The sequence below is a fragment of the Homo sapiens genome, chromosome X (assembly GCF_000001405.40).
Source record: "Homo sapiens chromosome X, GRCh38.p14 Primary Assembly".
Classification (NCBI taxonomy): domain Eukaryota; kingdom Metazoa; phylum Chordata; class Mammalia; order Primates; family Hominidae; genus Homo; species Homo sapiens.
Window position 1 is genome coordinate 71,107,272 of NC_000023.11, and position 10,992 is coordinate 71,118,263.

Consider the following 10,992-nt stretch of genomic DNA (forward strand, 5'->3'; position numbering starts at 1 on the left):
CCAGAACAGTACTCTTTCTAGCAAATTGGTAATACTCCTGCCTCCACAGCATGAATGTACTACTCCTTTTTCTTCCCCTCCCACCCTCATTGCATCCCAGGCTTCCCCTGCTCCCCACCCCCATGACAGACATTTTTGATGATTATCAACAGAAACTTTATTTCTCATCGGTTCAGGAACAATCGGAGGGTAGATGGAAAGAGGAAGGGAGGGAAAGAGGGAGGGAGGAAGAATCCTGCGAAAAGGAAGGGCCAGACTGAGGGAGAAGAAAAACATGTTCGGGGCAAAAGGGTAATTCTCAAGTGGGGAATGCCAAATGAAGGGGTGCTTACATGGGGGCACAAAATTCCAAATCAGCCACAGTGGGGTGAGGTGAGTATGAGACGCAGGTGGGTTGAATGAAGGAAAGTTAGTACCACTTAGGGCTACAGGACCCTGGGGTTCTTCTGTCAGAGGATTGGGGTTCAGGTTTCAGGCTTTAGGGTGTAACATGGGGGGGCCCAGTAGGGGCTATGCTGGTTGCATGGGGAGGCCCCAGGCCCCTCCCCAAGGGCCCCTCCTTTTGGGGGAATCTCACTGACGAGGCAGAGTCGTTCACTGTAGTCTGGCTGCAGACTCTCAGCCAGTCCCTTAGACACACCACTCCAGGCCTAAAGACAGATATGTCCAGGTCAGGGGTCAATTAGGGGCAGGAAGTAAAAGACCGAGCTCTGTGCCAAAGGAGTACTCATGATGTCTGCAACCACTGTAATTGATTACAGAAGGGATACACAGGCTCCTGGGCCCCCAATACCAGTTGCCATCTGCCTCATTCAATCTATAATCTGCACTTCTGTGTGTGTCTCTCTCTGTATAGTCCATGCCCCATTTGGTCGGCCACATCCTGACAGTTAGTGCAGGGCCTCCTTCCCTCTCCTCTCTGCCCCCACCCCCACACTCTGTCTGTCTTGCTGGCAGGCAGTTGGCAGTTGATAGACTGCAGCATGCTTATGACAGCGTTCTCACCGAAAAGTTCCCGTGGTATTCAGTAACAAGATCCTCTAGGTTCTTCAGGGTGGGAATTCGGGGCATCGTCCTGACAGGGGAGAAAGAGGGAGCAGGAGCACATAGGTTAAAGCTTTTTTATCACCCTTCTCCCAGTTGTCCCATATGAAATAAAGTGATTCTGTGTTCTCTGTGCCTGTGGCTTCCTTCCATCACCAAACCCTCTTGGGTAATCTCTCATTACTTACTGTCTCATCCTTTACTCCTAAAGACCCTGCAAAACCCTCCTCTGCTATTGTCAGCTACCGTTCCCCTCATTTTTCTGGGCTTCTCCAAATCTCACCGTTCCAGCCAGAAATACACACAGAGAAGGCTGATAATCAATCCCATGGAGCCAACAGAGATAACCACGGCTTCCAATGCAAACAGGAAAGGATTCTCTATAGAAAAAAGAAAAGCAAAGTGGACCTTATATTTGTTGTGCCCCTACTACATGCCAGGCACTGGTGCCAGGCACCGCGCTAAAGACATACTCTCTGTTTAATCCTCACAACAGCTCCTGTGAGGCAGGAACAATTACCTCCATCTTACATCTTAGGAAACAGAATCCAAGAGTTTAGGGATGTGGCCAAGGCCAAAGAGGTAGTATGTGGCACAGCCTAGATCCAGCTGGTTCCAAAGCCATCTTCACCTTGCAGGCTCTCTAGGAATGCTTCAGGGAAATCCTATACATTCTATAGCCCCCTTGAGTACCCCTCAGCCTCCTTCTCAATCCACTCCCCTACTCTAACAACACGCTAACCCAACCCTACACAGAAAAACCTTGATTTCTAGAGGTTGGGGTTAGACAGTGTGGAGAGATGGGGCACCAAGTTTAGGGGCTTTAGTGACAGGGAAGTGGAGCAAAAGACAGTGGTGTTAGAAAGGCTGGGGTGTTGGGCTCATGGATTGGGTCATGTGGGCCCATTTTACCTTTTGAAGTATTGCTCCCCCAGTGGATTGGGTGGCTCCATTCACTCCAATGCTGAGCACTTCCACAGAGTGGGTTAAAGCGGCTCCGAACACGAAACGTGTAGCGTTTCTGCCCATCCACACTAGGCAAGGAGAACTTATGTCTATAATCCACTGATTGTTCCTTGAGGAGAAAGAGGATGAGGGAAAGTGGGTGTCTATGAGAGAAGGGAGAATTAAAACATACTCCTGAACACCCACCAGTGTCATCTCTGCTACTGCCCAGTTTCTCTCTCATCTCTTGACTACTCAAGCCACACTGCTCCCTTCACTGACTTGAATCTAATGCCTCCCCTCTGGATCCCCTTAATGGCTTCCTTTTGTTTACTTGTCTATCTGGTATCAGGAAGAGTATGGGTAGGGAATCCCTAATGAAAACTCACTGGTGTCAGGAATGGTGGCTCACGCCTGTAATCCCAGCACTTTGGGAGGCCGAGGTGGGCAGATCACCTGAGGTCAGGAGTTCAAGACCAGCCTGACCAACATGGCAAAACCCTGTCTTTACTAAAAATACAAAAATTAGCCAGGCATGGTTGTGCATGCTCCCAGCTACTTGGGAGGCTGAAGCAGGAGAATCACTTGAACCAGGGAGACAGAGGTCGCAGTGAGCCCAAGATCGCCCCACTGCACTCAAGCCTGGGCAACAGAGTGAGGCTCTGTCTCAAAAAAAAAAAAAAAAGAAAGAAAGAAAGAAAAGAAAAGAAAAAAAGAAAACTCACTGGAGAAAATAGGGGGGAAAGGAGTTGGAGGAGGGAGGGTAGGGGGTGAGCAGAGAAGCTGGGAGGCAGAGAACAGGAGCTTGATATTAGGTCCTTCTATCTGTCTGGTTGAATCCTTTAGCCCTACTTTCTTGGCCTTAGCTGCTACATTCACGTCCCTAGTCACTCACAGTCCAGCTGTGGTCCCAGTCAGTCCGGTACTGCACCAAGTGCTCCAAACAGTGGTTCAAGAATCTGTTGTTCCAGTTCAGTTCTAGCTGGGATTCACTCAGTTTGTGAAGTGTTAGGTTCTCTGGAGCCCAGGGGATCACTGGAGATATGTGTGCATATGTGGTCATTCCCCTGGCCTAGACAAGTCAGGATCCTGAAGGTAGTGCCCCTAATACCTCCTCCCTTCCCATCATGATCCCCTACCTCCTCTTTTCTGCCCATGTACCCTTATGATAAAAGAACACTACTCTGTAGACTCCAATGTCCCACAGTATCCCTGGTCTCTTGACCCTTTCTTTCCAAATTACCCAGATTCTGCAGTTTTAGCATCTGTGTGGCCTGTCTCCTGGGTTCCCGTGGGTCCTGGAGCTGAACAACAAATGTTTGGTAGAGGTGGATCTCCTTTTTTTGCAACTGACAGCCAGAAGTGATTTCTTCAGAGAATAGATAGTGGCTGCACTTCTGGACTTTATCATTATCCGAGTTCTTGTACCTAGAGGAGAAAGGTTGGAAGGAAGAGGAACAGTGGGGCCAATCTGGGTACTGCAGATATCCAGAGCCTAGCCTCATCTCCCCTCAACCGACTTATGACTTACCCCAGGAGAAAACAGTGGGGTACCTGGGAGACTTGCTACCCTCTCTCTTGGTCTCTGATCCAACCCACCTCTTCTTCATCCCCTCCCCCTCGTCCCTTCTCATACCAATAATGCAGAGTGAGGTTGGTAGGCTGGGGCTCAGAGCTGCTGTTCCAAGTGCAATTCATGTACTCGACATTGAACACAAAACACTGAACCTCTGGGAGGGGCAGAGTGGAAACACTGAGGGAGTCAGTGGGCATAGTGGTCAGGAAGAAATCTAGATTGGGGAGAAAATGAAGGCAGGGAGGGAAAGAGAAATGATGGTCAGAAGGAGGAGGCCAAGCACGGTGGCTCATGTCTGTAATCCTGGTGCTTTGAAAGGCTGAGGCAGGAGGATCACTAGAGGCCAGGAGTTTGAGACCAGCCTAGGCAACATAGTGAGACCCTGCCTCAAAAGAAAGAAAGAAACAAACAAACAAGAAAGAAAGAAGAAGTAGCGTGAGGCAGGGAACCCTCCCCCTTGCCCTTCCCACTCCACTTTTCAATTCTGCCCACATGATTGTAATGGCCAGTGGCAGGCACCAGATCTCTGTACGGCCCCTTCCCACAGCCACCCTTCTCACCAGCCCCCTCCAGTCCCAGATTTCCCACCAGCTGTGGTGTCTTCATTCCCATTGGGCGTCAGAATTGTCGTGTTCAGCCCCACTCCCAGCAGGGGCAGCTGCAGGAATAAGAGGGATGTGAATGGTAATGATGGCTTCAACATGGCGCTTGCTCTTCATTCCCTGGGTGTAGTCTGTCTGTGTCAGGAACCTGGGTCCCTCACCCACTACCCCTCCCCACCCACACGTTTCCTCTGTCATAGCTTCCGGTGGAAAGAACCTTATAAACCAGGGCTTTACAGAGGGTGTGGCAAATATGTGCTGTGTGACACGGGCTAAGTCCTCTAGGAGATTAGGTGCTGCTGTAAGGTGGTAAACAGAAACTAAAGCTGGATATACAATAGTGTCACAGACTCAAAAATCCTCAGCCCACCTAGATCCTGGGAAGGATCTGTTCACTACCACTAGCACCATTCTCAACCACCTTCTCCTCTAAATCATTACCTTCTATAATGGAAGTTCTGAACCCCCACCCCCGACATCACCGTTCTATGCCATGCCTCTTCCTTGACTTGGTCACCCTTAAATCTCTGTCAAAGCTCTACTGTTTTGGGAGGATGGAAAATACCGTCTTGGCTCCTGTGGGCACATATACAGCTGTCTTTCCTCTGATCTAATCCAAACCAGAATACCCACCCTTAGCTGCTGCCTGAGCTGGGTCCCTGTTGAGACTGGCGAGGAAGTGTGACTTATAATACAAAAATATTCTAGAAATGGAGGAACAACAATACTAGCTTCAAGCTTCCCATCTTCCCCCAACTCTGCTTCTCTTCCTGCCTTCCCCACCTCAGTCAATGGTATCGTCACCCTCTCAGTCACCCAGACTTGAAACCTCAGAATCAGCTTCAATTTCTCCCCCTCTCTCACCCAGAGAATATAACCCACTCTGCTTCTGTGGTGTTTCTCCCAACGGTTTCCTCCTTTCCATTACCACAGCCACTCTGCTAAATCAGTCTTTCATTAGCTCTAGTCATGATTCTATCTAGACTCCATCAACTGGCCTCCCTTTCTAAAGGCCCTCTGCTCTCTAATCCATTCTTCATCCTGTTGCCAGTTTTACCTTCCCCGAAAACACAGAGGTGATTGGAGAAGCCACTTACAGAAACTATTTATTCAGCAAACATTTATTACGTTTTTAATATGTGCCAGGCACTGTGCTTATGTTCTGGAAATAGACCAACAAGACATCCTCATATTTCTAGACACTCACAGAAAAGTGGGGAAGACATAAACAAGTAATACAACATAGTGTAACAAGTCCTATAGCATAAATGTAGAGATACTACAAAGTATGTGAGCACAGAAGAGGAAGTAACTAAATTTACCAAGATGGAGAGGGGGATAGTTTAGTGAAGGCTGTGCTGAAGAGGTGCTATTTCAGTGGCATCTTAAAGAATGAGTGTAATTTTACCAGACAGAAAGTGGTGTAGGATATTAAGCAAAGAAAAACAGCACTTGCCTGGGAGTCTCAGGAAAACTGGACTATATGGCCCAGCTTAGTATTTAGTATGTATCTTTAGTATGTATTAGTTTGCTAGGGCTGCCATAAGTTATCCCCAAACTGAGTGGCTTAAACCAACAGAAATTTATTCTCTCGGCTGGGTGCAGTGACTCACGCCTGCAATCCCAGCACTTTGGGAGGCCAAGGCAGGTGGATTGCTTGAGGAGTTCGAGACCAGCCTGGCCAACCTGGTGAAACCCCGTCTCTACTAAAAATACAAAAATTAGCCAGACATGGTGGCAACACCTGTAATCCCAGCTACTCGGGAGGCTGAAACATGAGAATCGCTTGAATCTAGGAGGCAGAGGTTGCAGTGAGCCAAAATTGCGCCACTGCACTCTAGCCTGTGCAACAGAGTGAGACTCCATCTCAAATAAATAAATAAATAAATAAATAAAAATTTTTTAAAAAGGAAAAAAAGGCATTTATTTTCTCACAGTTCTGGAGCCCAGAAGTCCGAAATCAGTGTGGCCAGGGTTGGTCCCTTCTGGAGGCGCTGAGGAAGAAGTTGTTCCATGCCTCTCTTCTAGCTTCTGGTGGCTGCCGTCGATCCTTGGTGCTCCTTGGCTTGTAGACACATCATTCCAATCTCTGCCTCCATCTTTGCATTACCTCTTCTTCTTCTCTGCATCTCCTTTATCCTTCTCTTCTCTTACAGGGACACCTGTCATTGGATTTATGGCCCACCCTAATCCAGGGTGTTCTCTCCTAGGAGCTTTGCCTTAATTACAGCTGCTAAAAGCCTTTTGTCAAAGAAGGTGACATCCACAGGTTCCAAGTGAACATATCTTTTTGGAGGCCACATTCAACCCACTACAGAGGGCATTCTCCAATTTAAAAGTCTTCAAAAGCTACTCATGGCCTTCAGAATAAAGCCCAAGCTCCAATGATCAATTCCAGCCACACTGGATATGTCATACGCATTTCCTTTCTCTGGAATTAGCCTCTTCCTAACTTTCTGTAGGCTAAAATCCTTCAGAAGGCAAAACCCCATCTCTACAAAAATACAAAAATTAGCCACGTTTGGTAGCACTCACCTGTAGTCCCAGCTACTCAGGTGGCTGAGGCACAAGAATCACTTGAACCCAGGAGGCAGAGGTTGCAGTGAACTGAGATCGCACACTGCACTCCAGCCAGAGTGACAGAGCAAGACTCTGCCTAAAAAATAAAATAAATAAAATAAATAAATCCTTCAGGGCTACATGCCTATTAGAATAGCCAAAATGGGCTGGGCAAGGTGGCTCACACCTTGCCTGAAATCCCAGCACTTTGGGAGGCTGAGGCGAGTGGGTTGCTTGAGCCCAGGAGTTGGAGACCAGCCTGGGCAACACAGCAAGATCCCATCTCTTGTTTAAAAAAAAAAAAAAAAAAAAAAGAGGCCGGGCATGGTGGCTCATGCCTGTAATCCCAGCACTTTGGAAGGCCAAGGTGAGTGGATCATTTGAGGTCAGGAGTTCAAGACCAGCCTGGCCTACATGGTGAAACCCCGTCTCTACTAAAAAATACAAAAATTAGCCAGGCAATAGTGGCGCATTCCTGTAATCCCAGCTACTTGAGAGGCTAAGGCAGGAGAACTGCTTGAGCCTGGGAGGCGGAGGTTGCAGTGAGCTGAGATTGCACCACTGCACTCCAGTCTGGGTGACAGAGTGAGACCCTGTCTCAAAAAAAAAAAAAAAAATTGCCCAAATCCGGAACACGGACTACACCAAATGCTGGCAAGGATGTGGAGCAACAGGAACAACTCTCACTTGTTGCTGGGGGAAATGCAAAAATGGTACGGTACAGCCACTGGGGAAGACGGTTTGGCAGTTTCCTATAAAACTAAACATACTCTTTCAGCAATCATGTTCCTTGGTATTAACAAAGGAGTGGAGGCCGGGCGCGGTGGCTCACGCCTGTAATCCCAGCACTTTGGGAGGCTGAGACGGGCGGATCACGAGGTCAGGAGATCGAGACCATCCTGGCTAACACGGTGAAACCCCGTCTCTACTAAAAATACAAAAATTAGCCGGGCATGGTGGCGCGTGCCTGTAGTCCCAGCTACACAGGAGGCTGAGGCAGGAGAATGGCGTGAACCCGGGAGGTGGAGCTTGCAGTGAGTCGAGATCGCGCCACTGCACTCCAGCCTGGGCGACAGAGCGAAACTTCGTCTCAAAAAAAAAAAAAAAAAAAAAAAAAACAAAGGAGTGGAAGACTTGTGTTCACATAAAAACCTGCAGACGGATGTTTATAGCAGTTTCATTCATAATTGCCCAAACTTGGAAGCAACGAAGGTGTCTTTCAGTAGGTTTATGGATAAACTGTGGTACATCCTGAAAGTGAAATATTATTCGGTGCAAAAAGAAATGAGCTATTAAGGCCGTGAAGAGACATGGGAGAAAACTTAAATACATATGACTAAGTGAAAGAAGCCATGCAGAAAAGGCCACCTACTATAGGATTCCAACTATATGACATTCTGGAAAGGGCGAAACTATGGAGACAGTAAAAAGATCAACGGTTGCCAGGGGTTGTCGGAGAGGGAAGGATGAATAGGTGGAGCAGAAAAAGTTTTTAGGTCAGTGAAAATATTCTGTAAGATACTACAATGGTGGACACATGTTATTCTTTGTCCAAACTCACAGACTGTATAAAATAACATCAAGAGTGAACTTTAACGTAAACCATGAACTTTGGGTAATGATGTTCAAGGTAGGTCCATCAACTCTAACGAATATACCATTCTGGTGGGTTTGTTGTTGTTGTTGTTGTTGTTGTTGTTGTTTTGTTTTGTTTTGTTTTGTTTTGAGACAGAGTTTCACTCTGTTGCCCAGGCTGAAGTGCAGTGGGGTCATCATGGCTTACTGCAGCGTCCACCTCCTGAGATCGAGTGATTCTCTCCCCTCGGCCTCCAGAGTAGCTGGGACTACAGGCGCCCGCCCCTAAACCCTGCTAATGTTTTATTTTGCTTTTGGAGAGATAGAGGTTCTACCATGTTGCCCAGGCTGGTCTAGAACTCCTGGGCTCAAGCAATCCACCCATCTCGGCCTCCCAAAGTGGTGGGATTACAGGCATGAGCCACCATGCCTGGCCCACTCTGGTGGGGGATGTCAATGGGGGAGTTTATCTATGTGTGAGGGCAGACAGTATATGGGAATTCTCCATACCTTCCTCTCAATTTTGCTGTGAATCTAAAACTGCTCTAAAAAATTCTTTTATGCTGGGTGCTGTGGCTCATGCCTGTAATCCCAGCACTTTCAGAGGCTGAGGTGGGTGGATCGCTAGAGACCAGGAGTTTAAGTCCAGCCTGGGCAACATAGCAAAACCCTGTCTCCACCAAAAAAAAAAAAAAAAAAAAAAAGCAAAAATTAACCGGGTGTGGTGGCCAGCGCCTGTGATCCTAGATACTTGGGAGGCTGAGGTGGGAGGTTTGCTTGAGCCCAGGAGGTAGAGGTTGCAGTGAAGTGAGATTGCACCACTGCAGTCTAGCCTGGGCCACTGAGTGAGACCTTGTCAAAAAAAAAAAAAAAAGAAAAAAAAAGAAAGAAAAGAAAAATTATCTTTTTAAAAATATCCTTCAGGTTGGTGGCTCACGCCTGTAATCCCAACACTTTGAGAGGTGGAGGCAGGTGGATCACCTGAGGTCGGGAGTTCGAGACCAGCCTGACCAACATAGAGAAACCCCGTCTCTACTAAAAATACAACAACAAAAAAATATTTAGCTGGGCATGGTGGTGCATGCCTGTAATCCCAGCTACTCGGGAGGCTGAGGCAGGAGAATCGCTTGAACCAGGGAGGCAGAGGTTGCAGTAAGCCGAGATTGCGCCATTGCACTCCAGCCTGGGCAACAAGAGCGAAACTCAGTCTCAAAATAAATAAATAAATAAATAAATAAATAAATAAATAAATAAAATATCGTTCAGGCTGAGCGTGGTGGCTCACGCCTGTAATCCCAGCACTTTGGGAGGCCGAGGTGGGCGGATCACTTGAGGTCACGAGTTTGACACCAGCCTGGCCAACATGGAGAAACCCCGTCTCTACTAAAAATACAGAAATTAGCTAGGCATGATGGCGCAAGCCTGTAATCCCAGCTACTGGGGAGGCTGAGGCAAGAGAATCACTTGAACCTGGGAGGCGGAGGTTGCAGTGAACCGAGATCACGCCACTGCACTCCAGCCTGGGCAACAAGAGTGAGACTCCGTCTCAAAACAATAAATAAAATAAAAAATAAAATAAAATAAAAATATCCTTCAGAGTTAGTTCAAATGTTACCTCAGCCTCCTGAGCAGCTGGCATTACAGGCGCCTGCCACCACACAAGCTAATTTTTGTATTTTTAGTAGAGATGGGATTTCACCACGTTGGCCAGGCTGGTCTTGAACTCCTGACCTCAGGTGATTCCCTGCCTTGGCCTCCCAAAGTGCTGGGATTACGGACGTGAGCCACCACTCCCCGCCTTGAATTACTTCTTCTTTCCATTGTGATTCAATAGCATTTTGTTATTTTTGTTACTGGTGTTATTTTTGTTTATTGTTATTTGTTACTTTTGTTACAGCACACTGGCTGTCTTTTCTCTAAAAGGCAATACAAGGCCGGCACAGTGGCGCACGCCTGTAGTCCAGGCTACTGGGAGGCTGAGGCGGGAGGATCGCTGGAGTCCAGAAGGTTGATGCTGCAGTGAGCCGTGATAGCGCCACTGCACTCCAGCCTAGGCGACAGAGGGAGAACCTGCCTCAAAATAAACAAATAGCAATACGACAATAGGATATTGGCTCTGGAATTCAGAATCTTAGTGCCAGCTCTGTTACTCAGTAGCTGTATAATATTGGATAAGTGAATTTTCACACTTTGAAAACCAGCTTCCTCCATCCGCAAAATCGAGCCAATAATAATCCCTAACTCATGAGGCTGTGAGCAGATTAAAGGAGATAGTGTCTGAAAAGCATCTGACACAATAGGTGCCTCTTTAGCTAGACCAAGGGTTCTTAACCTGGAGTTCATGGACCCTTAGGGGATACATGGATGAACTTCAGGGGATCTAAGAATCTAAAGCAACATTTTGCATGTCAATATATGCATATTATTATTATTATTATTATTATTTCTGGGAAGAAGGTCCATAGCTTTCATCAGCACCTTTAAGGGTTTGTGAATCAAAAACGTTAGTATGCGGTACCCTTGGGCAGAAAAACAAACAAGAAAAGGTTAGACAACTCGATGGTAGACCTTGAGGGATTAGAGCCAGCCTTTCAGGGTTTAATAGGTTCTTTCTCATGCATACATAGTTTCTAATGTTCACAATAGCCCCTTGAAGGAGGTGTTAGCGCACCTATTTTTCAGATGCCGGAA

At 47.2% G+C, this 10,992-nt stretch overlaps 1 protein-coding gene across 2 annotated transcripts, besides 2 other annotated features; it reads right to left on the reverse strand.

Annotated features, from left to right (window-relative positions):
• On the reverse strand, positions 133-4,306 carry IL2RG (interleukin 2 receptor subunit gamma). Of its 2 annotated transcripts, NM_000206.3 has the most exons (8): positions 4,154-4,306; positions 3,626-3,779; positions 3,233-3,417; positions 2,885-3,024; positions 1,957-2,119; positions 1,328-1,424; positions 1,006-1,075; positions 133-650 (listed from the first exon to the last, which is right to left on the reverse strand). In NM_000206.3, the coding sequence occupies exons 1-8, from the start codon at positions 4,266-4,268 to the stop codon at positions 465-467; spliced, it is 1,110 nt and encodes a 369-aa protein (NP_000197.1). In that variant the 5' UTR covers positions 4,269-4,306; the 3' UTR covers positions 133-464. The 2 variants fall into 2 exon arrangements, with proteins under 2 accessions (NP_000197.1, NP_001425799.1); NM_001438870.1 differs by lacking the exon at positions 1,328-1,424.
• Positions 3,767-4,966: an enhancer, noted in NCBI's record as "MED14-independent group 3 enhancer chrX:70330888-70332087 (GRCh37/hg19 assembly coordinates)". NCBI's record gives its function as "activates an origin of replication core promoter dependent on BRD2, BRD4, P300/CBP and CDK7 cofactors, and independent of MED14, by STARR-seq in HCT116 cells {active_cell/tissue: HCT116}" and the evidence as "EXISTENCE:reporter gene assay evidence [ECO:0000049][PMID:35650434]".
• Positions 4,069-4,458: an enhancer, noted in NCBI's record as "active region_29737". NCBI's record gives its function as "activates an Ori minimal core promoter by ATAC-STARR-seq in GM12878 lymphoblastoid cells {active_cell/tissue: GM12878}" and the evidence as "EXISTENCE:reporter gene assay evidence [ECO:0000049][PMID:35858748]".

Excerpts from the sequence above, each read along its gene's own strand:
- IL2RG (NM_000206.3), bottom strand. The coding sequence starts at position 4,268 with ATGTTGAAGCCATCATTACCATTCACATCCCTCTTATTCCTGCAGCTG. Across the intron at positions 3,025-3,232 it reads GCTAAAACTGCAGAATCTGG|TGATCCCCTGGGCTCCAGAG; the intron begins GTAATTTGGAAA and ends ACATATCTCCAG. Across the intron at positions 651-1,005 it reads AATACCACGGGAACTTTTCG|GCCTGGAGTGGTGTGTCTAA; the intron begins GTGAGAACGCTG and ends ATCTGTCTTTAG.